The 26,281-nt window shown below is 40.1% G+C and overlaps 1 protein-coding gene across 17 annotated transcripts in view, besides 5 other annotated features; it reads left to right on the top strand.

Moving 5' to 3' along the window:
* The window catches only part of PAG1 (phosphoprotein membrane anchor with glycosphingolipid microdomains 1), a 144,259-nt gene continuing 117,980 nt past the window's right edge, over positions 3–26,281 (top strand). For 11 of the 17 annotated variants that reach the window (XR_007060746.1, XM_047421985.1, XM_047421986.1 and 8 more), the window contains exon 1: positions 3–19,524. The gene's annotated coding sequence lies outside the window, so the exon portion shown is untranslated. The remainder of the gene's footprint in view (positions 19,525–26,281) is intronic. The other 6 variants (XM_047421993.1, NM_018440.4, XM_047421992.1 and 3 more) reach the window with 2 other exon arrangements.
* Positions 488–557: an enhancer, noted in NCBI's record as "active region_27577". NCBI's record gives its function as "activates an Ori minimal core promoter by ATAC-STARR-seq in GM12878 lymphoblastoid cells {active_cell/tissue: GM12878}" and the evidence as "EXISTENCE:reporter gene assay evidence [ECO:0000049][PMID:35858748]".
* Positions 4,658–4,807: an enhancer, noted in NCBI's record as "active region_27576". NCBI's record gives its function as "activates an Ori minimal core promoter by ATAC-STARR-seq in GM12878 lymphoblastoid cells {active_cell/tissue: GM12878}" and the evidence as "EXISTENCE:reporter gene assay evidence [ECO:0000049][PMID:35858748]".
* Positions 14,660–14,709: an enhancer, noted in NCBI's record as "active region_27575". NCBI's record gives its function as "activates an Ori minimal core promoter by ATAC-STARR-seq in GM12878 lymphoblastoid cells {active_cell/tissue: GM12878}" and the evidence as "EXISTENCE:reporter gene assay evidence [ECO:0000049][PMID:35858748]".
* Positions 17,592–17,851: an enhancer, noted in NCBI's record as "active region_27574". NCBI's record gives its function as "activates an Ori minimal core promoter by ATAC-STARR-seq in GM12878 lymphoblastoid cells {active_cell/tissue: GM12878}" and the evidence as "EXISTENCE:reporter gene assay evidence [ECO:0000049][PMID:35858748]".
* Positions 18,152–18,351: an enhancer, noted in NCBI's record as "active region_27573". NCBI's record gives its function as "activates an Ori minimal core promoter by ATAC-STARR-seq in GM12878 lymphoblastoid cells {active_cell/tissue: GM12878}" and the evidence as "EXISTENCE:reporter gene assay evidence [ECO:0000049][PMID:35858748]".

Raw genomic sequence — 26,281 nt, 5'->3', positions numbered from 1 at the left:
TCATTCTCCGCGGCGCGGCGGCGAGTGCTGGCTGCGGTACCCTCCCGCTCGCTTGTCCGTCTGCGCGCCCGCGATGTGACCAGCCGACTGGGGGCGGGCTGGCGGCTCTGCCTGCGGCAGCGCATCGGTTTTTCTCCTGGCAGGTCCCTAATTGAGCCGTGATTCCCTTGGAGCCAGAGACACCCACCAGGGGCTCGGAGCGCCGCGCTCCGGGGCTGGAGGCAGCTGCAGCGCTCGGGTCCGCGCGGCCGGGTGCAGTAGCCTCAGTCCCAGCCGCCGCCTCGCTGAGTCGTGTGCCCTGGCGAATGCCCGGCGCCCGGCACAGCTGAGCCAAGGCGACTGGTGCAGAGCGGCGGCGCCTGGTCCTGCACTTGCCGCTGCTGCCGGGCTGTGCCGGGGCGGCGGCGCTGCGCGCCGGAGTTTGCAGAGGCTGCCTCCGAGCGCCGTCCGCCAGGAAGACTCCCTGCCTCCTGAGTCCCAGTAAGTTGACTGTAGTTTCTGAAGTTGGAGGGAGCCGTGGGAAGGAGAGGTTCGTTTTTATCTTCTTGTGGGAAGCCGAGGGTGGCACCTCTTGTTAACAGAGTTCCAGCTCGAGGAGGGAGTGCGGGGTGCCAAGAAGGGGACAAGGCAGCTGGAAGGTCTGGAGTCCAGGGCTGGCTGACCTCAGCATCTCACGAATGTGCCAGTTGGAAATATGCTGGGAGAGGACAGGTACTCCTAGGGCATTTCGACTGCTGCGTGCTAATTATTCATTCCAAGCTCCTTGACTCTGTGTTTACGTTGGGGTGAAGGGGCTGGGCAGGGTCTTGTCACCTCCATCCTAATTCCTCTGGGGAGTGTGGCCAGCACTGCGATGGATCTTTGGGCGAGCCATTTCTTTCAGGCCTGCAGGCTTCCCGCGCATCCCGCTTTACTCTTCCCCTAGGCAGAAGTTGCCAACCTTTTCATAATTGGAGCCTAGTCCTTTAGGGAAAAAACAACTTATATGTCGACCCGGTGTTTTATGCCCTAAGGCAAATAAAACGAGCTCTGGGCGTGTGAATTCATACACTTTAAGAATGTAGGCAAGTCTCAAGAAATAGGATTCAGATAATGACACTTGGATTTCACCCTGATTGTCCTGCACCTCTTATGTAAGCCTCCCGGCTGGATAACTTTATCTCTGCAGTGGCTGCAGCTGTGGCCCTCCATTCCATTTGTTTAAAGTCCAATTGAACAGTATTTACTGAAAATGCTGACATGATATAGCGGCCTGAAGTCTGAAACAGAGTGCACTCTTCAAATTGGAGTGTCTTCTCCTAATAGGGAGCATGGGAGGAACAACCCACTATATTTTTCAAGGCAGCTCCAGGAATTAGACCCATAAATCATGTTTTAAAATAGCATGCATTGTGCAGAGAGCATGCAGAGGACCGCTTTTTGAACACATCCCCTTTGTTTTAGAAAAAGTGGAAATTGTTCATGCCAGACAATTGTTGAGTCTAAAAGTTAAGTGTACTGATGGGCCTAATTATCTTAATAAACAAAGAGCATGATTTATAGGTAGCTGCAGTGCCCTACTTTGAAGGATAGAAATCTTTAACCTTTCTTTCTCAGCTGTTCCCGAGAGATTCCTTTTAAGCAGAGCTATGGATTATCATCATTGATGTTTAATACCTGAGTTGGTTAAACTTGTAAAAGGAATAGTACTTTGAAGTACCATGCAGTACTGCTGTGTGACTGTTACACAGCGAATATTATAAATAAGAGGAATATTTGGAGTATTGGGTATAGATGTCATTAGTTTAACAAAATAGGTCATATTAAGACTTTCCTGCTAAATATATATACACATACATAAATGTTTAATTTGGACTTGAAATTATTGTTTAAACCAAAGCTCAGGGGTATGTTTTAATGTAAGATTTATTTACATAATCTTTGAAGAGAGAAGTGCATTTATTTATGGTATTTCAGCATGCAGAACAAGATGAACTAGTTATAGGCACCTTATTTAAAGTGTAAAGGGTTTTTTTTTAGGAATACTAAGAAAATACACAAAATGTTATTTCAGAAGTTGAAAAGTTAGTCACATCAACACATTGCGGTTTGTGAGAGCATCCAGTGCTTATCTCTAGAAGAGATTACATCCAAGCATGGAATCTCAAACAGATTGACCCATTAAGCCCTATTGCAGCCTGGTTAGGAGGACAGGCTATGGAGCCAGGCTGCCAGCTCTGGTACCATCTGTTTGAATCTAGGCAAGTAACCCAAAGTCTGTGCCTCAGTGTCTTCATCTGTACAATGGGGATGACAGTAGTAGTACCTACCCCACTGAACAGTAGTGAGAATTAAATGAGTTCATAGACATAGAGCTGTTGGGCCAGTATCTGGCATATTAAGCTTGTTCTGGGAAAAATTTTCATTGTTATGAAAGGAAATGCATCTTTGGACTCTATGGACATTGAATTGCTGCTATGGACATTGAATTGCTGCTGATGAATATTAACAGAAGCAGTTCATGTGTATAATAGGAGAGAAGGTATAAACATTTATTGTGCACTGTCTAGCGATACAGACACCAACTGGTATTTAACACTGTCTTGCTCAATTCCCCACCACAGTCCTTTGAGGTAAGTGGCTTCATCTCTACTTTAGAGATGAGAAAATGGGAGCTCAGTGAGATCAAATAGTAGAAATTGGAGCTGGCATTTAACCCACGTCTGTCTGTGTTGAAACTGTGTTCTTTTTGACCCTGCTGCCTCAACTTGCAAATGAAGTAGTTGCATTATTATCCTCAATTTATACATGAAGAAATCTAAGCTTAAGGATTAAAGTATGCAAAGTGCTTAACAGCACCCACAACAGAAATGATCATAATTATTGTTAAATAACTTGCCCATGCTTCCATACCTCCTAATGTGTGGTAGAGGTGCCAGGTCTTTCAATTTGAAGTGGATTCTGTTGCTTTATTATTTTTCTATTCATGCATTCAGAGAGTCAAAAAAGAAAAATTGGTGTGATGTTAGAGTTTACACTGGAGGGTGGTGGTCTCCATTTGGTTTCCTGCCTGCACGTGTAGCTGCAGCAATCTACACAGTCAAGGAAACCACCACGGCAGCAGTAATCAATCCACAAACAGCGTCATCCCTGGATATGCATTCAGTCCCAGCTGGAGAACTCCCTTGGGCAGAGAGAGGCCTTGCACTTTGCCTCATATTAAACTGCATGTTCAGAAAAAGAAATAATTTATACTTACCATTAAATAAGCATGCTTCCTTCAAGCCTTAGTACCCCATGTCATGGGAAGCAGATTCCGGGGTGCTGTGTGAGCAGTACTTCCTTTAAGGTTTCCATAGCTTGTTAGACTTCTCAGCTGGGTTCCAGAGGTGGGGAATGATTGAGAGGTCATGGCATTTTTGTGGCTGTGTTAGGTTATCACCCAAATACTAGATAGTGTTCTCGCCTTTTGTAAGTCTTATTTCTAGAGATTAAAATCTAATTGCCGTATAGGGCACATAGACCACAGACTGCTCACAGTCTGATTTAATTTAAATCACAGACTGATTTAATGTTTAATGAAATCTCTTAGCTAATGTATGCTAACACTGAATGGTGCTTCAATATAAATGCTCAAAGTTGGCTTTAAAAAAAAAATCAAAACTCTTCGAGAGTTCTACTCTTCCTGTAGGCTGCCTCCATGTGCCTGGGGACACAATACCATAGTTGCAAAGTGCCCAAAAGAGCCCCTGCCATTGACTGAGTCATCTCACATCTCTGAATTATCTTCTGTTTCAACTTGAACCCTCCTTTTCAGAGAACAGATATTCCCTTTTGCTTACTTAATAGTTAATTTCAAGTGTTCCCCTGCTCTGGGTTGGTTATTCTATAGTAAAAGTCTCCCCTGATCACTTTTGTGACTTGAATGAGGTTCATGATTTATTATTAACTAACTCCTCAGAATATACATATAGTTGTTTCATTTCTCATCTATGTTATCTGTTATCTATTTAGTGGCTTATCTGTGTCACTTTTAAATCTCTGAATAATTTTCTTCTGACATCCATCAAAAGATACATGTAAAAGAAATGCAAACTAATTTTAATATGGATATAAATGAATGAAGACCATTGACAGTCATATGTACTGTTTTGAATTTTCTTCACTTTGGGCTTGAGGAGTTGGGAGCTGATAGTTCCAGAGCTCCTGCCTCATGCATTGTGAGAGGCACATTGGGAGGTTATACAAGTTATACACGCAAGCAGTTCATGTGCAGCCCCGCAGAGACAGCCCCTGAGGGCTCGCTCATTGCTGAGTTCAAGGGCAGGGGTTAAGTATGAGGGGAAAACAGCTCTGTACATAATTTATATGACCACATTTCTAGTCCTTACTGGTTATCTTTCTGGATAAGAATTGGAATGAATAGCTTAAAGGGAGCACTTACTGTGTGTTGGCTGCCATGTTAAGAACTGCCCTTCATCCTCACTGTGACCTTGTGTGGTAGTACTTTATTATCCTCTTTTGTGGAAGTGACAACTGAGGCCTAGAAAAGTCAGGGCACTTGTCCACGGTGACACTAGTGAGCTTCAGAGTAAAGAGTGGAGCCCAGAACTGTGCAAGGAGGCCCGTGATACTTATAGAACGTTCTGCTGCCACTGATTTTTGAGCCTTTGTGATAGCTAAACTCTATTGCATGGATTTATATATTACATAATATAGATGGACTATATTATGCTTTTCAGAAGAATCCTATACTATCTTGCTTGGTCCCCAGGTGAAGGAATGGTGGGAAGACACATGCCTACCTTCTTAGCCACTGCCAGGAGCAGGAATTGACAGCACAGGAAATATCATCTCCATTATCTTTGTAGAAGAAGAGCTTAAGCTTAGTTCACGCAATGAGCTCAAAAAAGAAAACCACATGTCTGCTTTGTGAAATAGGAAGCATAAAGCCTTCAACTGGTAGTAGAGCACAGTGGGGAGGCATGTTAACTTTATCTGTGTTTAGTGTCACATACTTGCATCATTCTCACTAAAAAAAAAGGAGAAGTGTGGAGACCTGACATTTTCTTGGGTGATTTAAAAGAAAAATAAGTTTATTTAAATCTAAAGAAGTATCAGCAGTGAACTGTCATGGGAGAACCACATTACTACAGCAGTGTCATCTGTCATCCCATGAGACTATGGTTTTCAAAGGAAACGAACACTTATGTCTAACCAGTAAGGCTTAAACGTGTTATCTTATAGTAAGAACATTGCATCAAATCGTCCATGTCTGTATCATAGCCTTTCTAACTCCAGTCAAAATGGAGGGTAAAAGGACAATTTTAAAACCATCTCGTAATATTTTCAAAACCCTTCCCCTGAGCCCTGCCCCCTCTATTTTTTCTCGATTTCATACTGGTGCCAATATTTGTTCAATAAGTTAATTCATATCATCCCCTGGAGTTTGAATTATAAAGGAATTATTGTGATTATAATATTTTGGCATATCCTGTTGATCTCTCATTTGCCCCCATCCTTGATGTTATAGGACTGTATGATTTTTTTAACCTGAGAAGTGATTAAAAACGTTTTAAAAATTTAGTCTCCTAAATGTAGACTGTTTATTGCAGAAGACAGGGAAATTGGCCTGACTGGGGGCATTTGCTAAAAATGCAGAGCTCCTGAAATCCTGTGAACCTTATGGAGTAAGCAAGTAAAAAAAAAAATACGGAAGAAGAAGTAGTTTTAAAATTGCTCACTAGGCCTGGTGCGGTGACTCACGCCTGTAATCTGAGCACTTTGGGAGGCTGAGGAGGGTGGATCACTTGAGGTCAGGGGTTCGAGACCAGCCTGGCCAACATGGTGAAACCCAGTTTCTACTAAAAATACAAAAATTAGCTGGGCATGGTGGTGTGCACCTGTAATCCAAGCTACTCGGAAGGCTGAGGCAGGAGAATCACCTGAACCCGGGAGGCAAAGGTTGAAGTGAGCCAGGAAGATCACACCACTGCACCCCGGCCTGGGCAACAGAGTAAGACTTTGTCTCAGAATAAATAAATAAAAATAAAATTGGTCACTAACAGCTTTGTACTTCCCTCTCCCATTTCACAGATGTCCAGCTGACCCAATCCCTAGGTACCGTATCATGTATTCATTTGCAAGTAATCAGGTTCTCTTGATTTTCTAAAAGTACCAAAAGGTGTGACTAAATCAGCATTACTGTCATCTGCCATCTCCGTGTTGAGAGAGCCCCAGGGTTGCATATGTAAGCTTTTATGTGAATTTATTCTCTGAGGAATGAAGGGTGATCAGATAAGTTCTCAGGCATCTCGTCTCACTGTATTTGTGACTCCATCATTACTATTAAAGTTGCTTCCCCCTACGCCATCCTTTCACCCCAAACCATACCCATTCCTTCATCATGCCCATTGTGGTGGAACATGATGAAACTATTGGGAAACTTAAGTGTTGAGGGAGCTCATGTTCTAAGTCAAAGGAAAAAACACATAACACAATACTTTTTTTCTTTTCATTAAAAAAAAGCCAGTCCCTAACATAGCTATACACAAGAACACCACACCTTCTGCATTCAGCAGTTGGGAATTGCAACCAGAGTGGCCTTATTAATTTTTTCCTGGCACCTTCTAAGGAGGGCTGTGAGCCTCTAATTCACATGTAATCAATCACTAGCAGCTTGTCTGTGTTTTCAGTCAAATTTAGTGACTGAAGGGTCACTAAATATCACAAGGGTGGTATTTATTCATTTATACATTCACCAGATATATATTAATATGATACCAGGCACATTGTTAGATGATAAGACCTCAAATACCAGAAAATCCCTCTCTCTGCCCTCAAGAATCTCAGATTCATGAGGGAAGGAGACACTGAGCAGCAGTTGGAACCAGTGCTTAAAGGATGCTTGGCTCCGTCAGGGGTGCCTGACTCCAAGGGGATGACTTTTCCTAACGCAGCCGGGCTTGATGGAGTCTGGAAGAGCCAGTAGGAGGGTACCAGGAGGCTAAGGGTGGGAGTGGGCAGGGAGAAATTATTCTGAGAGAGGGAACAGGGAATATGGTGAAACAAAGGTACCGGAGAGGCGGGTTGTGGAACAGCTGGTCATTCCATGTGGCTGGTGCACATTGAGGGTGGGGAGTGAGACTGGAGATGGAGAGCGGAGGCTGGAGCCACTTTTGGAGGGTCTTGTGGGCCATATTTAGTTTTGTAGATGAATTTGAGTACTTTTTTAGAATGATCACTCTGGGTATATTACACAGAATGGATGGGGTAAGGGACAGACAAAGTAAGCTGTGCAAAAAAAGCTTTTGAATACTGGTGTGGATTTAAAGTCTAAACTCCCACTGATAAGCGTGGGGACATTAAGGGGAGAAGCAAGGAGAGGATGGTGAATTTAAGGATGACTCCCAGGTGTCTGGCTTGGGAATTGAATCCATAAGGCTGCCATTGGAGATGATAATGAATACAGAGGATGGAGCAGTTTGCAGGAGAAGATGACAGGTTGTGGATTTATGCACTGTGAGGCACCAGAGGGACATTCAGGACCTGAGATGCAATTGGCAGTTGTACAGCCTGTGGTTCTGGAATTCAAAACGGAGGCCGAACTGGAAATGCAGGTTTGCAAGTCTTCCGTGTATTTGAAATTGTTGTTGAGGTTGTGATCTGCCTGTGAGAACGTGTGGACTGAAAAAAAAAAAAAAAAGGACGAAGGCCAAGGTGGCTGTCAGAAGAAAAAGAGATGGCATAGTAAGATTAAGCAAGAGAAGTTTTTGACAAGTGCTTGGACACAAAGTGGCAGAAGCCAGAGGCAAAGCAGAATGAGATGCTTGATTGAATGGGAACTGAGTGACAAAAGAAATGAAATTGAAATAAAAAGAGAGCAAAGGGACAGGTCTGACTGTTAACTTGCTTCCATCTACACAGATAATGGTGGCTTTTACTCCTAGAGTTTCCGGTTCTGGTCAATAAATATTAAGACCTACCATGTGGAAGGTGGGTGGGAAAGGGGATGGGGGGAAGAAATAAAATAACAAGGCATGAATTTCGATCTCAAGAAGCGCATGGAATTTTCATTTCTTATTTTTTTCTGGATCTCAAGAAGCTTATAGAATTATCATTTCTTATTTTTCTTTTCCATTTGTTTTTCTCCTTCATTGACAGCAGGACACAGGCTTCATGGGAGAATGGAAAGAATGAAAGAATCATTTTGTTGGTGCATGAAGTGCCTCAGTTCCCCATAGCGGGCATATCTCATTTTATCCACAAAATAAACACACTGAAAGAGAAGGTGATAAATGATCCATTATTTGACGGATTGTAAAAACTAAGCTTTTATCATGGCCATAATGTTATTAGAGGGTTTGGACCTTTGAGCCAATGCTTATGTAATTATTAATGAGACTTTCGGCTCACTGGATTATTTGATGTATGCTGAGTAAAATATCCTATAATTTTCACTTGTCTTATAAAAACAGGACACATTATATTATAGACTAACTGGAGTATTTGGAGATGATGGAAATAATTACCGTATGTTTTAGTTAAATATTATGCCTTTCAGTCCTCAAACGTTTGTCCTTTAATTTTGACCTAAAGGTAGAATCACTCCCGTTATACATATGAGGAAACTGAGATACAGGGTTCAGATGGGTGGGTGGAGATAACACAGCTAGTAAGTGGTAGAGCTTCTAGGATCCAAAATGAGGTGTCCTGGGTTCGTACCACTCCATCATGTTGCTGTATCTTTGTGAATAGCTACTAAAGAAGAATTAGGGGGTGTTATGTTTAAGAGATTTTCTTTATTAGTCTGCTCAAAGCACCAACAGTAGAAGCTGTATCAGCTACAATTTCTATATTTGATGGGCCACAGGTTATTTATGCAAATATATGTGATTAAGTTAGATTGGGGGAAAATCTGCTTTTTTTTTTTTTTTTCCCACAAAATGAACATGTTTTGCATTCATTATCTCAAGAGCACTAAAAAAGAATCTGAGTATAAATATAAGGATTCAATATTTTAACTTATAAAATTATTGTAGATAAACTTATTTGTGATACAGTGGGAATTTATTTTTCAGCAATTGCAATGGCTGTTGTCTGTAAGAGGCATTCCGTGTGTACACGTACCTGTGTGTGCATGTATAAAAAATAAAATTTAGCCTAATTAATTTTAAACTATTGGTTTTCCTTTTGTAATATTTTTGAATTCTCCAGATACATTAAATGATATTGCTTGCTTTGTCTTGCCAAAGCAGCTATTATGTTACTCATTTAATGCCAAAGTGTTAAAGCATTTGTCTTCGGTAAGCAATGTAAAATGATGTAGGATGAGCCTAAGGGATTTAGTTTAATGTTACAACTTGTATTTTGGCTCCTGATAGTCTAAATTTTTTATTTACCTAATTTTGCTACTATTGAAGCAGATATTAGCTGTTAATATACAGTAATATTAGAATCATGAAAAGTACATAGAATGTTGTGGCTGGTGGAAAAACTTTATGATGCTGCATTTTTTTCTTTCACAAAAAATATCTAGGAGGCTTACTAAATTGCAATTTCCAGATGAAAGCAATTTCTAGCAAGTAGCAAAATGCTGGTGCTAATGCTTATCCCTAAATCTCAATTTCAAGCTTCATGGTGCCTATTTTACATTTTAGCTTTGGTAGGAAAAGTTGAATCCAAAGGGGCTTATGCCTTTGTGACATTTGGTGGATTGCTCTTTTGTTATTGGTGCTGATTTTTAAAAATAACAATACATTTATAAATTTTAAAAAGTTTTAAAAAACGTTAGGCAGCTATCTTAGTTCTGAATTATCACTACACATGGTGCATTGTAGTAGCCTTAGTCCAATGTAGTTGAAAAATTACAATATAGGCATGTGAAAATTTAAATAACAATACAAAGTAATATGGTATTTTATATTTGATTTTTATTGCACTTTATAATAATATGTGAGGAAACTCAAATGAGGTAAAATGAAGATTAATTTGGTCATTTCATGCCTCATGTATCCCAATTTCATCCAAATGCAAATATGATAATCCAGGGCATAGAGTTAGTGTTCTGTTCAGGTGATTTGACACTACTGTATTTATTAATCACTTCCAAGATGAACAATTAAACTGCATTTCGTACTCATCTTTCTATGAGTATATATTTTAATATTATGTACTAGGAGTTTTCATTTTCTAAAAAGTAATTAAATTTTCTTTGTCTTATTTTTCTTATTCTTATTGAATTTTATTCAGACATTTTTATGTTAGTGTATACTTGACATGATAGAACATGTCTAAATTAGTAATCTAATTTGAATACCATAATTATGTGTACAGTTAGAGCTTGATTGAATGGAGAGCTTTTGCACATCCTGTATGTTCTTTCTGTTAGTGGATTTAGGAATTACATGCTTAATACTAAAGAGTCCAAAGCCTGTTTATGTTTATCAGTAGGCGCACAGAGCAAAATATAAATATTTTTGCCAATAGAATTGGAAAAGATATGCTTCCTTTTTTAAGTGTTAGGAATTAACACGTAACTGTCTGTGGTAGTTTTCTCTTATACGAACAGATTGATAAGAAATATAGACATGGCTGAAAACTAGAATGGTGTCATTGTATTGCCTAAATTGTTGGTGTTGAGGTTAGAAGTCCACTCCTTTGTTTTGCTAAATAAGAAATAAAGATGCTTTAAAATATTGATCATAAGTCCTGATAAATATTTGTACATATTTAGTGTTACGAATATTTTTCTTTTGCTTTATTATGTAGTGGTCACTTTGCCCAAAATGTACATCTTGACCTTTAGTATGGAATGCTCAGTATGTCCGAGGTAGAATTGAAACCAAAACATCTGGAGTCTTATTAAAAGGATACAATATGGATAACAGCTTTTTAGTCTTGGGGCTGAGATATTTGGAAGAGGATTGCTAAATACTGTGGTCATTGAGAAAAATAACACTGATGTACTAAACTTACACTTAATTTAATGGTTTCGCTACCACCATTCTTAACCTTTCCAACTGGCTGAGTTATTTGCTAATAGTGGCATGTCACATCCTGAATTATAGATCTTTCCTTTTAATAAATATTCAATAGCATTTTCAAAATCGTTCTCCTAGATACAATTCATAATGAACAGCGCAGCGCTGGCAACAAGCATGCTTCTTTCAGCCTGTTTTATAGCCACAGGCTATTTGGCATTTGGACACTTCTCTTATGTATTTCCACAGCTCCACATTTCCTAAAAACTGTCAGCCTTATATTAGAATTAGCTTTTGCTTCTCCACAGTTACATGGAGAATGAAAAGAATATCTCTCCTTTTCTCTCCCTGTAATATGCCAAGGACTGTGGTCAGAGAATCATCATTTGCTAGTCGTATGCTTTTTCTTTCTTGATGTTCTCATTAGCTTCAGAAGCCATAGCATGAAAGGCATTTTGAAATGCGTCCGCCATCGGTTTGGTTTGATCCATGTTAAACTTTTTCTGTCTAGAACTGTGGTTCTTAACCCCCTAGAGGACATTTGGCAATGTCTGAAGACATTTTTGGTTGGCACAGCTGGGGATGGGGATGCTACTGGCATCTGGTGGGTAGAGGCCAGGGATGCTGCTATACATTCCACAATGCACAAAATAGCCCTCCCCAGGGAAGAATTTTCTACCTCAAAATGTCTAGAGTGCTAAGCTTGAGAAACCCTGATTTAGAAGGTAGGGGATGTCTGTTTAATTTGTATTATATTTTTTACGCAAACGAAAAGTGATAGTTCTGGTGAAGAAATCATTGCATATAATGTAATCATTTATTGAACACCTACTAGGCTCTGAGAATACAATGAAGACTATGACATGGTTCTTGCCTCAGGGGTATACCCTGTCTTTGCCAAAATGATTAGTAAATAAAATCAAACTGGTTGATGTGATGTATGCTGTGATTAGAGGTATGCATGGCATGTTAAGATAAAAATAATTTAGATTTCATTTGCTAAATATAAGAGAATATCTGGAAGGGATTGTTCTCTGACTAAATGTAATATCAGTCATTTGTGGGTAAAGAATTTCTAATTTTTCCTTGACAATTAGGAGTAAGTTTTATTTATTGTCTTTTTAAATTTCAACTGGCATTACTGTGAAATGTCAGGAAAGAAGGGAAGGTGTTGACATAAAAAGTGTTACTTCAGGAATTTAGGAAATGAGTTTTTCATCATCTTCATCGAGTTCTAGTTTACATGCCATAAAAGTCTCCAATTTCAACTGAACAATTCACTGATTTTTAGTAAACGTACAGAGCTAGGGAACTGTCACCACAATTCAGCTTTAGGACTTTTCTATCACCCCAAAAAGCTCCCTTGTGCCTGTGTGCAGTTCTCATTCCTGCTGCCAGCCCCAGGAAGCCACCAATCTTTCTATTGCTTGCTTTCTTTTCTGTCTCACTTTCTGTCCTTATATATTTGCCTTTTAGCAAATCTCTGGACATTTCATTTGAGATATTAATATTTACCAATAAAAATGTAGTTTCTATCTTCTTTTTCAAGATCAGCATCACCTTATTTTTTTTATATTGCCTGTACCATACACATGCTACAGTGCAGGTTCAGGGACTCTTAGTTATCGGAACTCTCAGACTAATAAAGTGAAACATGCAGCAAAGAAGTAAAGCACATGTGTAAGAGTGGAATGTGTGCCTGTTTCTCAGCTTTGTCCCTGTTTCAATGGTGGTCACCCCCTCTACTACTTTTGTAACTCTGTCTACAAAAATAATGTTATAGAAAGCATTGAAAAGCTGAAGTCAGATAAATACTCTCAAGATGTGGGGAAACTACAAAAGGATTAAATCTGGAGAACATGCCTGTTTGGGAGCTGTATTCTGGTCAACCATTTCTTAGCCAAACCCTTTGGGGCCAAATGTCTTTCAGAATTCAGCTTTTAGAAAGGTAATACAGTGTATTCATTGTATATTAATGTAATACCCCCATGGGATCCAGGCAACACACAGTAATTTTTGTAGCAAAGTAGATGAATATTCACATTTAGTTAGAGAAAAACTAACCACATGTCAGTTCAGGTCAGTTTGGGGAACAAACTCATTTCGTAGCAAAATAACAAACTCTGTTTTCAGAAATTTTTGCATTTCAAAATTGTGGGTAAAGGTTTGTGAGACTGCCTCAGTGTATCCCAGGATATTGCATTTCAAACTATTGCATTTCATCTTCTTTCTAGCTCCCCACCCTCCAATCCTCTCTGCCATATACACACTTCATTTAACTTAGCCATGGATATATTTGTCTTTCTTTTTCACGTTAACTTCCCATCAGACTTGACAAAATGCCAAATTAGCTGTTCACTTTTGGTGGATGAAGGCCAGGTACAGATGTGTTATGGCCAGCTAGGTTTGTGGTTTGTGGTTCACCTCTCTGCTGAAGGCCTGGATTGTAGCCATGTTCATCTGCACCAGCCCCGGGGCCCAAGAAGAATAACATGGTTTTGTTGGGTCAAAAAGATACCCATGGAGAAAAATCCAAAGGTAGCAATGGCAGCTGCCATCCCAGGTAGCCCCAGACTCATGCTCAGAAGCCCTCACACCCATCATGAAATCCTGGGCCATGAGACTAGACTGCTATAGAAAGAGTGTCAAACCAGGGAGGAGAATCCACTAGAGTAAATTTTCTTTAAGGAAAGATATTTAGAGTTCAAGAAAGATAAAGACATGAAGAAAACTATGTGGGGTTCTGTAGTGGACCCACACAGCTCAGAAGTAGGACGCCAGTCCAAACCAAGACATTAAAGACTTGTTGCAAATTATTGAATTTTGCATAATCATCTTATGTAATTTGCCTAATGGTCCTTAGCAAGCCCATTAGTCTTTTAACCATAAATTTCACGTCTGTTTTAATTTCCAGATTTCCATTGGTAGTACTTAGAAAACTATAACTGCAGGCCAGTGGGTCTTAACTGGTTTCCTGTGGCACTCTTGAGTTGCTATAGACCCATCGTGAATGTAAATGAATATTTTGATGGATGTGTACAATTTGCTTTCTTACAAATAAAATGCATACTCTTATAGCAATATTACTTAAGCAGAATATACTATAGATAATGGGACCCATTTACAAGCAAGGGGATCCAATTTCTGCAAATTATAGGAAAGAGCAGAGTGTAGTGTTGCACCAGCATCAGATAAAACATTTATAGGAACATTCAAGAATGTTGTCTTCTAAGGACTCAAGAGCATCATCAAGGCAGTACTAAGTTTTCAAAGAGCAACGTAATGCTTAAGGTCTACCCATGGGAGTGAGGTGGTAATTCTGGATGCTTTTGTAGACACTCAGAAGCGTGTACCAGGGACTACATTACTACTGTTTATTACTTCTTTTTTTTTTTTTTTAAAGTTCTTAATTGATTCAACTGTGCCACCAAAATCTCTGTCTGAAGGTGAACCATCAGTATGAAATTGAATCATTGCCATTTGGTTGTGAAATTACGAACCTCGCCTTTCCTACCCACAGACTTCTTTCATAGGTGTCTTGGTGTACCCCCACCTCCTCCTCCAGCCTCTGCCAATAACTTTCTCACAAGTCTTACAGCCTCTTTGCAGATATCATTTTCTCTTTTACCTCCCAGCTTTCAAGAGCTAAACTTGTCCTGCCTTGGTACTGCACCTGCCTCCTCTTACCAAGTGTCTTCCTGAGTTTGCACACATTCCTTCTTGTTAGTACATTTCCTGTTGTTAAGAAGCTGACAACCTCACCTTATTGCTGCCGCACCCCATTCCACATTTAATGACATCCTCCACCCCTACCCCTCCCCAGCTCTGGTGATGCTTTTTAGAGGGTGGTTCTCCATGTTGGCTGTGATTAACATCACCTGGGGAAGTTTCACGTTTACTATAACTTATTTCCAGGGCCCACCCCCAGTAATTTTGGTTAAAGTGCCCTGGGGGTGGGGCCCCAACCTTGGTAGTTTTTAAATGCTTTCCCTGGGGATGCAGCCAGCACTGAGAACCACTGGTGCATAGGGTGTAATACCTGTCTGTTGTAGGTAATGAGAGCAATTGTGGAAGGGGTAGCAGGGAGTTTTGAAAAAGGATGAAAAGAGATTAAAAAACAAACAACTCTTCCTCATCCCTCTGTTTGCTTTCAGCTTCAGCTGAAGAGAATGAGTTCTGCTAAGTGGCACCTATGCCCACCTGGCTGGTGTGACTTCTTCCCCTTAGGCCTGTGTTCTCATCAGTAAATTCCTGACAGCCTTGTGCCCCCAGCAGGCCAGAAACCATTCCAGGCAAGGCCTTTACTTATCTCATCATGAGGCAGCCTACCAGGGGCCTGATTTTCCTTTCTTAACTGGGCATCCTACTTTGCAACCTCGTATTTCCATTTTTCCTTTTTGTAAGGCTCTGTAAACCAAAGCCATGCACCCTCCCCGCTCATCTGCTGTCAGCTCACTTGAAACTCACCAGCCCAAAGGACACACACAGCAGAACCAATTAAAGTTCTCAAGTAGAGATTGTTCACTTCACTTTTCACTTGCAAGAAAGATGGATGGCAGAGTCTTTGCTGGAAAACTATTGTGTAGAACATAATTTTGCTGAATTAAAGAGGGGAGGCCACTACCAAAATTGAGCTGTCATCTTTTTGTAGTTTTCTTTTATTCTTAATACATCTATGGGCCTCTAAAATCCCTTTTTATATATTATCAAGTCCAGGAGTTGGGCAGAGATTCATTTGGGTAGCCTTTTTTATAAAGTGATCTTTGTGAAGTCTCTTCTCAAGACTTTCTGGGGGTCAGAATGCATGTTCATTTTCCAGAGGGCCATACGCAAGGACCATTGGCTGTTCCCCACGGCTCTACAGTTTCTAAAGGAGCTGAGAACACTTACAACATGAGTGCCTTACAGTACTCTCTGGACCTCATTGCTTTATTATTAAGGAATTATTTCTTCCAAATATAGTAGTTTTATTTTTATTAGTAAGTAGGAAAATTTAAGTGAGGTGATTTTGGTGTTAATAACAAGGATTCAGAGCTGTTTTAAGGAAATCCAATGTGAAATTTACGTGAATATCCAGTTGTACAAAAAAATTAAGACAAAACGCTTCACTTAACAAACTTCTTCATAAGAATTATTTAAATGCCAGCCTTCTTTAATGGAGTCCGTTTACAGAAATTCTGTTTATTCATTCATTTTCCCTGAGCACAGATATTGCACAAAGCAAATACCACCCTGCTGTTGTCCTGTTGCATGGTAAGAAATGCAGCTTTTGTATTTATCAGCCTTACACATATAGTGTGAGAACCTTGCCAAGGCTGGCAGTGGTGCAGGCCAATAATTAATTAAGGGGGCATGCAGCATACATTTATTGAGTACCTAGTATGTAGCAGGCACAGGGATAGGTAGTACATATAGAAGCAAACAGGCTATCTACCCTTACTTCCTAGTGGAAAGAGACAATCACATAACCAAGGGATTATCAGTAGTAGACATTTGGTTTTAGCAGAGAGTAAAATATATATACATCGTTAGGAGTGACTGGGAGGCTAGGGAGGGTCCCCCTGAGGAAGAGACATTTAAGCTGAAATGTGACCAAAACAACCAGGGTTTGCATGAATTGAGACCACCCTGGACAGAGTATATGCAGGCAGTTGAAGGAGGCCAGAAGGGCAGAGAGTTGAGGTTGGGTGCCTGTACTCAGGATCGGGAAGCAGCATGGCCAGGTTTATATTTAGGAAGATAACTCTGGTAGCAGCACAAAGGGTGAATTGGAATCCAAGACAGCAATGCTGGGAACTCAAAACCAGGATACTTGGTGAGAATAGAACAGGCAGCATGCTGACTTGATGCTGAAATGCTGGGCTCCTCTTTTGTCCTCTGTCCTCTGTCCAAACCCAGATTGGACCTCACAGCCCCATGAGTACACTAGACCTAATGAACTTGTTAAAATGCTTTTTTAAAATGCCAACTTGTGTACCTGGTCCTCATCTAATGACGTGGATTGGCATCGAAGACTTCATTAAAACTTCAAATGACCTGATGCAGGGAGTTCATGGACCAATCTTTGAGAAATATTGTGTCTAAAGACTGTACTTTCACTTTAATATTCCATTTAATTCTCAAAACAACCCTGTAAGAAAAACGTATTTTTCCTAGCTTCCAGATTAAGAAACATGCCCAGTGTGATTAAGCATCTGGCTCAAGGTCACACAGCTGGTGCATGTTATGGCTGGCAAAGCAATGTGCTTCTTTTCATAGAGAGTCCTGCCTGTGTGAAAATGGTAAGAACAACCCTGCAAAATTCAGAACACCTTTGAGGGTTGTTTCATGAGTGAACATGGTCAATCTCTCAGATACAGGACTCAATATATCCCATCTTGGGATAGAACCAGAGTGTTCATTTTTGCTAGCTTTTCTCTTTTCTGAAGAAGTTTAATTTTTTTTTCCCTCAAAGCTAGAATTTTAAGTTCTAGGGGAAAATATATATATATTGCAAAGAAGAGCTTGGATCTTAATATTGGTGTTTCTGGGCCTCTTTTTCCCATAAAAGAAGTTGAAAGGTTTAAGGGGTAGCATAATTTTATCACCCATAGACCTAGAAACCCAACCATTAGGCCTCACAGAAAATTGTCATGCTTTCAGTTGCCATGAATCATTTATTTCTTAAGTGGCTCTTGAACCAAGAGTTGCAAAAATGATGTTGAAGATGTGGAGGAGGGTTGCTGAGTGAAAAGCACACTGATAATTAGAAATCTTGCTTAAAAGCTGGCTTGAAAACACATTTGCTTCAATAAATTACCTGCCTGCCCCCATCTGAATGTGTGAGGAAGGTTCTAGCTTAATTTGCTCATGTGGATAGGGTATTGAACATATTTATCTGAAAGACTTAATATCATAATAAGTTTAGCCTGGCCTGACTTTTAGGACGATGTCCCTCCTGGGGTATAGGTAGAGAGGAAGAAGATGAAAAACAAAAAAAGACAAGAAAACATTTTCCTATGGTGGCCCCCTGCTCCACCACACGCTCTCAGCTGGGGAGAACCGCAGTGAGCCCTACCGCAGCATCCTCTAGAATGTCAGCCCACACCCCACAGCAGACTGCAGGGTGTTAACTGCCTGTCTCTGGCATGAACCCAGTTTGAATGAGATGCCAGGAAGTGATGGAGGGGCTATACCTCCCCCTGAAGCCTGGCCATTACGTCCTGCAGAATTGACCAGGGCAAGGCAGGCCGTTTGGTTTACAGACCACACCATGATTGTCACAGTGTAGATTGCTGCTTTGATTATTTTGGAATGTTGGATGAACACTCCTTCCTGAGGTTATTTTCATCAGCAACGATCAAATTCAGTTGCTACTGCGTGTGGCTGATCGTCCAGAGAGGGTGATTTCTTGTCACAGGTTTCCCTAGGGGGATATTGTGCTGCTTGGTCTTGGTGGTCAGTCTCACATCATTTATGGTGTAAGGTGGGCTCAGGGCCACATCTGGGGGTATGGCATACAAGACATGATCATGTTGTAAAGGCAACGTGTCTACCCCCTTGTCTGTGCCTACATTTGTGTCTAAGTGAAAGAGGAACCTCAGAGACAATCTTGAAAGGAAGACAGTTAACTGCAATTTTAAGAATGATGGATTTGCATGAGGGAGAGGCTTTAGCTTTGTGATAAAATGCGAAAGCATTTATGTGTTGATTACATAGACTGTTCGTAAAGTCTGGAAACATCTATGTTCTAGAACATATTATGTGAAGTAAAATGAACATACCATTAATTATACATGGGTCTTCATTGGTTTCTAGACTTTCGGACCACCCTCAGACTTTTTAAAATTAATCATGTTAGATTATCTCCCCAATTCTAGCTGCATCCTGGATTCATGTCTCACCCACTGAAGGTAGATGCCTTACCTGGGGCAGATTCAGGTAAGGCATACAGTCAGTTCTGTTCTCTGTGCAGCTGGTTGTGATGGTGCCAAGAAGGCTGTATGCTGTCAGCATACCATTTGCTCTGTTTTGTTGTTGTTTTTAGTATATGTCTTCACTTATTAAACATTTATTAAGGAGCAAGTATTTTTAAGTGCAGTAATATGTATCGTACATTAAGGCCTCACAATTGCTACTTTGTAGGAAAGAAAATCTAGTTGAAGTGGTGGTGTGACTTGCCTATATCATGCAGCTAAGAAGGTTTTGAGTTGAGATTTAAAGAGAGATCTGATACAAGGCGTGTTTTGTGCTTTCTCTGTCAATTCTCATATAATTTCTCCTGTTAAAGCTCACTACCACAAGAAATCGGCATTAGTTTTGAGATCAGTTAGGGATTAAAAGTGATTTATTAAATCAGACCCATGTCCTTATGACATAGGTAAAGTGGTATATACCATGAACTTGAGAAACAATTTTCATTATTTTTTCTATATGAGGTGGAGAAAAGCATACTGCTCAATGAAGAACTTAATTTTAAAAGTTGTAATGCTGTTTCATTTGTTGAATTAGTTCCATGACGAGGGATACAATTTTGGATCAAGCTAATGTTGCTGAATCTGTAGAGGGACATCAACATTTGATGGTTAGTTGACATTTAGAAACCCCTTCATTCTGACATGTAGATTCTATGGATTTGTCATATTTAACAGAGATCAAATTATATTCAGAATAAATGTATTTCTTCACTGCCTCATTATAGGAAATGATATTGTCATTTTAATATTCACAAATGGATTTTATTTTTTGAGACAGAGTCTTGCTTTGTCACCTGCACTGGACTGCAGTGGAGTGAACACAGCTCACTGCAGCCTTGACCTCCCACGCTCAAGCAATCCTCCCGCCTCAGCGCCTCAAGTAGCCTGGAACTATAGGTGCACACCACCATGCCCAGCTAATTTTTCTTTTTTTTCTTTTCCTTTTTTTTTTTTTTTTTTTTTTTGCAGAGATGTGGTTTTGCCATGTTGCTCAGGCTGGTCTTGAACTCCTGAGATCAAGCCATCCACCTTCCTTAGCCTCCCAAAGTGTTGGGGTTACAGGTGTGAGCCATTGCACCCAGCCTGGATTTACTTTTATTCAGACAGATGCCTAAACTAATATTATCCAAGTTTTGTTTCTTTTTTTTTTTTTTTGAGACAAGGTCTTGCTGTGTTGCTGAGGCTGGAGTGCAGTGATGCAGTCATAGCTTACTACAGGGTTGAACTCCTAGGCTCAAGCAATTCTCCCGCCTCACCCTTCCAAAAGATTTTAGGTGTGAGCCACTGCACCTGGACAGGGTGTTTTTTTTTCTTCTTCTTCTTCTTCTTCTTTCTTCATCCTGTGACTTAGGATGCATTTTTTAAATCCCATTGATAAAACTGGTCCTTGGACTGCTTGTTGAAGCTTTCATGGAGTTTAGCATTTACCAAGTCCTACTGTGAATTGTTTATTTATATATGTATGTAATCATGTACCACATACCAACATTTTTGTCAGTGATGGATCACATATAAAACCGTGGTCCCATAAGATTATAAAATCATATTGTTACTGTATCTTTTCTATGTTGTAGTATAATGGCCTTACAGTATTCAGTACAGTAACATGCTGTACAGGTTTGTAGCCTAGGAGCAATAGGCTACCCCATATAGCCTAGGTATGTAGTACACTATACCATCTAGGTTTGTGTAAGTACATTGTATGATGTTCGCATGATGAAATTGCCCAGTGATGCATTTCTCAGGATGTATCCCCGTCATTAAGTGAAACATGATTCTCTACTAGATCATAGGAGAAAAGAATTGTGTTTAGTGCATCTTTTGGAGAATCCCTTAGGTGCCTGATACAAAATGAATTTTTGCTATATGAAACTCTAATTCGGCATGTGCAAATAACCAGCTTGTCAGTGTGCCCCAATATGCTTCCCTCTTCCACATCTTACATCTTCCTGTAGTCTTTGCCTTACTGTCTCCCATTCAATAGAGGAGGCCAATAAAACAGGAAATCACTCTTGATGCCTCTTCCTTCAAGGTCTGTATGCTCTATCTATTAAATATTGAATCTGCTTTTGATTTCAAATCCTTCGGCCATTCTCTTAGTTTAGACCCTTATCATCTGGATGACATATGTTCCTGTATTAGCTAGTCTCCATTCTGCCAGACTTGGCTAGGACTATATTATCAATATTTTCCACCCTCCTGCCAGGGAGAATTTTCTAACATGCCAATCTGCTCAGGTCATTCTTTAAAATCCTTCATTGATTTTTCTGAACATTGTCTCCAGGTAAGAGATCTAACTCCTTAATGTGGCATAGAGTCTTTTGCGATCAGACCCCTGGTGGTCAGTCAGCCTCATTTCTTGCATTCTGCTGTGTGATCTGTGTTCTAGTTATATAACTCAGAGTTCCTCACGTGTGGCCCGAGGCTTTCATAAACCACTCCCTAGAGTTCGTCAGCTGACTTCCCTCTTCAGGTGTCCTATTCTCTGAGAAGCTGATCCTGATTGGCCAACCACCTCAACCTAATCTGGTTTCAATGTCCCTCATTTGCATTCCCATGTGCTCTATTACATCCCTTTCAAAATGCCTTTCACACTGCTGTAATTGCTGGTTAGTGGTCTCTCTTTCTCCCACTGGACTATGAGCTTCTTGAAGGCCGATGTCACATCTTAATATTTATTTCCTCAGTGTCTAGCATTGGATCTAGTCTGTAGGAACCAATCACTTATTTGTGGTGTTGGGCAAGTTACATATCCTATCTTTTTAATTGTCCTCATCTAAGTAACAGAATGTCTCATAGGGTTTTGTGAGAAATAAAAGAGCTAATATATAGAAAGCATCAGAACAGAGTCTGGCACAGAATAAGAGCTCCATAGATGTGTTCTTGTTTTATAGTCCACCCCAGGGACATAGAATACTCACTGAATATTTGTAGAATGCTATCGATTGATAAAGCCAAGAGGGAGTTCCACAAATTACCTGGGAGAGAGAGTAGAAAAATTGTGGGACATGTCATGGCTGTATTCCTGTACACCAGGAAAATTAGGTAATTGTTTGAGATTGTTTTAATTATATAAAAATACCATTTACATTAGCAGCAGAAACTACTCATGGCCCTTTGTGAAGAGAATTATAGAACTATTGAAATGCATAAAAGAGCTAAGAGTAAGTGGAAAGATATATGCAGAGTTTATGGATTGAGAGACTCAATATAGGATCATCTTTGATTTTTTAAATTAATCTATAATTTTAATGCAATTTCAATCAACATCTTCCTTCACAGATTTGTTTTGTTTTTTAAATGAGCATGCTGGGAGACCATTCTTTATGGACTCTCACGTTTCTGCATGTCATGCAAGCAGAGGCACTAACAACCCTTTTGTTCTAAACTGTCTTTTCAAGGATGTTTGTAATGTAGCTGTAGAAGATAAAGCTGTAGAAGCTAAAGATAGTGTTTCCCTCCAGAGCAAAGGGTAGGTTTGTTTACTGTACAATCCAATAAAGATAATGTCTCCCAGCAGGGCAAGGCTCCATTATGAACAGTTCATGTTCCCTAAACTCAGGGTTCTTTTTTTTTTTTTCCTTTTTGAGACGGAGTCTCGCTCTGTCGCCCAGGCTGGAGTGCAGTGGTGCGATCTCAGCTCACTGCAAGCTCCACCTCCTGGGTTCACGCCATTCTTCTGCCTCAGCCTCCCTAGTAGCTGGGACTACAGGCACCCACCACCACACCTGGCTAATTTTTTGTATTTTTAGTAGAGACGGGGTTTCACTGTGTTAGCCAGGATGGCCTCGATCTCCTGACCTCGTGATCCTCCCACCTCAGCCCCCAAAGTGCTGGGATTACAGGCGTGAGCCACTGCGCCTGGCCCATCAGGGTTCTTTAAGTATGATACAAACCCACTGCATGCACAGCGTCTGCCTGAGTCCCTCCACAGTGCCCCCTGTATTTGGACACCAAGTAGAAGTGACTGAACATGAAACTTAATGCTGTTAACTATCCCATAAATAATTAAGTCCTTTGTCTCAGACCGAGGAGTTTTGTATCTTCTTCCAGCATCTGTAAAAATGTGCAGGCCAACTTGTTAACTTGTAAGTTGGGTGAAATCTCAGATCTTTCACAGTTCTTAAAAGCATTGTGATAAATCTCCACTTGTAAAAATCATTTAGCATATTAAATTACAGCAGTGAACAATAAGAATGTAGTACAATGCTTTCTCAAAAAGCTAAAAACAAATAGATCAGCTATTATTGACAAGAAAGAAACTGTCCTTTGCTGATTTGCCTTTTTTCCTTAAGGATGATAAATGAACCTCTTCAATTTATCTAAATCCTTTCACTTTGATATTTTCCATAACAACTTTCCTTTGCTCTTATTAGAGTTTAGCATTTCTATATCTTTCCACTGGCATGTTAAGCTAGCTTCTTTTCTGAAGGTGGGTGGTGGGGTTAGTTTGCTTGTCTGTTCAAATATTTGTTTGCTAGTATTAAATAGGCAAGGCAGATTTATTTGGGCTCTTTTTTTGTGACTTAGTACTTTCCCACTATTTTCTAGATCTCCTTACCCAGCTCTCTCTGATTACACCAAAAGATATTATAGTCATTTTGCTGTTTGTCTATTTTGTATTATAGTCATTTTGCTATTTGTATTATAGTCATTTTGCTATTTGTATTATAGTCATTTTGCAATTTGTCCTAACCCCAGCCGTAACCCTAACCCCCTAACTATAACAAGGATAAACACATCATGGTGTTAAATGCAGTAGAGAAAAAAATAAGAGAGGTGAAAAAAATCCGCAGTTAATAATGATTATGGAATGCTTATTTTAGTGCCAGGAACTATTCTTTTGAAGGGTAATGGACTTTGGGGGATTAAAGATCATAAAAATAGCATTGATAACCAGTTGTAATTCTAATGAACTACTGCTGAAACACAGTGTTCCACTTGTGTCTAGTACATTTCTTTCATAAACATGTAAATTACTCAGGCTGCTTCAAATCCTTTTAGGAAGGAGTTGGGAGGTAAATAATACATAATTAAAGAAGCACACCCAGACCCAAAGCTCTCTTGAGATAATAGATATTAAGGAGTTATTTTTGGGGAAAAAAATGAGGTAATTAGACAGTACAAAAGTATTTTAAAATTAGAGTAAATGTTGGTTCTGAGAAATCTTCAGCTTTAAATCAGTATTTTTTCCCCCCACTGATCTTTGATATGTATTTAGGAGGGGCCCAATGACATCTCAGATCTCTTCCCTTTCCTAAAACTGTCAAAAATCTTTAAATCATAGTGGACAACATACAAAATGGCTTATTTGGGTCTCTGGCCCCAGCGCAGGGTGCCTGACCAGCCCAGGTGACTGACTGCAGTGTAGCCTTGCAGCCGAGGGTTTGTTCTCCTGCAGCCACAGAGCCACATGCATGCGCTTATCCCCGAAACATTAGCTGGGCTTGTTCTGTAACTTTGTGCAAGTCAAGTCCTACTCAGTGTGCCCTGTAACTTGTTTCTTTTACTCAGTTATTATTGAGATTACAGTATGTTGCATCTAGCTGTGGTTCATTTTCATTGCTGAATACAGTTCTGTTGTATGAATATTCCTCAATTGACTTATCCACTCTCCTGTTGATAGACATTTGGGTTTTATCATTCTGTTCTGTTATTAACACAATGCAAAGAATATGCAAGAATTTCTTTAAAATGGGTCAGCAAACTTTTTCTGTAAATGGCGAGGTACTAAATATTTTAGGCGTTACAAGGGCACATGTAGTCACTGTTGCTGCTGATGCTTCTAAAATTCTTTTTTTTTTTTTTTTTTTGAGACAGAGTCTCATCTGTTGCCCAGGCTAAAGTGCAATGGTGTGATCTCGGCTCACTGCAACCTCCACCTCCTGGGTTCAAGCGATTCTCCTGCCTCAGCCTCCAGAATAGCTGGGATTACAGGCACATGCCACCAAGCCCAGCTAATTTTTGTATTTTTAGTAGACACGGGGTTTCACCATGTTGGTCAGGCTGGTCTCCATCTCCTGACCTCGGGATCCGCCCGCCTTGGCCTCCCAAAGTGCTGGGATTACCGGCATGAGCCACCACGCCTGGCCGCTTCTACAGCTCTTTAAAAATGTAAAAGTAATTCTTAGCTTGTGGGCCATGGAGTAGGGGTCAGCAAACTGACCCCTGCTCTCAGATATATACCTTAGAATAGAAGTACTTATCATCAGTCATGGACATGTACATTTTAAAAGGCAATGAGAAACTTTTTTCAATGTGGTTATATCAGTTTACTTTCTCACAAGCAGTACATGAGAGTACCCCAATGCACCTCCTCCACACCATAACCTGACGTTATACTTTTTAATTTGCTTGTCTAGTAGATATGAAATAATATCTTATTATGGGCCTCAATTTGCATTTCCCTGGCTGCCAATGAGGTGGAACATCTTTTCCTACAATTATGAACAATTTGTACTTTTTCTCATGAGAGATATTTGTTTGTATCTTTTGCCTGTTTTTTGTTTGGGCTGTTTATGTTTTTCTTATCAATACGTAGGCATTTTTATATATTCCAGAGACTATTCCACTTCTATATGTTTCAAATATTTTTTCTTTTATGTCCTGTTATTGCATCCTTTTATGCACACACACACACACGCGCGCGCACACACACACACATTTCTTGCCTTCTTCCCTAACAGTGAGAGTAAGAACTACTCATGTTTGCCCTGAACTGCTTTAATGTATTCCTGTCTGAGGATGAAAAAATGAACTAGATAGATGACTTCTTTTTACAGTACTCTCAGTAATAAATTGATTTAGAGTAAATATTCATTATTAAATAAGGCAAAATTCTATTATGAAATAGCCTGTAAAAACAAGCCAGATTGGCCGGGCGCGGTGGCTCACGCCTGTAATCCCAGCACTTTGGGAGGCCGAGGCGGGCGGATCACGAGGTCAGGAGATCGAGACCATCCTGGCTAACATGGTGAAACCCCGTCTCTACTAAAAATACAAAAAATTAGCCGGGCGTGGTAGCGGGCGCCTGTAGTCCCAGCTACTCGGGAGGCTGAGGCAGGAGAATGGCGTGAACCCGGGAGGCGGAGCTTGCAGTGAGCCGAGATCGCGCCACTGCACTCCAGCCTGGGCGACAGAGCGAGACTCCGTCTCAAAAAAAAAAAAAAAAAAAAAAAAAAACAAGCCAGATTAAAAGCGTAACTACTTGCTAGAAGAATTAGAATTGTGTATGAAAAAGATCCTAAACCAAAAAAACATAATTGACCAAAATGCATGCTATAACATTAAGCATTCAAAGACTTCAAATACTGACAGTGTACTTAGGTTTACCTGACTGTATTAACGATTCAGTTTTGCATATGA

The sequence above is a fragment of the Homo sapiens genome, chromosome 8 (assembly GCF_000001405.40).
Source record: "Homo sapiens chromosome 8, GRCh38.p14 Primary Assembly".
In the NCBI taxonomy this organism is placed as follows: Eukaryota; Metazoa; Chordata; class Mammalia; order Primates; family Hominidae; genus Homo; species Homo sapiens.
This window is presented reverse-complemented; position numbering and strand designations above follow the sequence as displayed.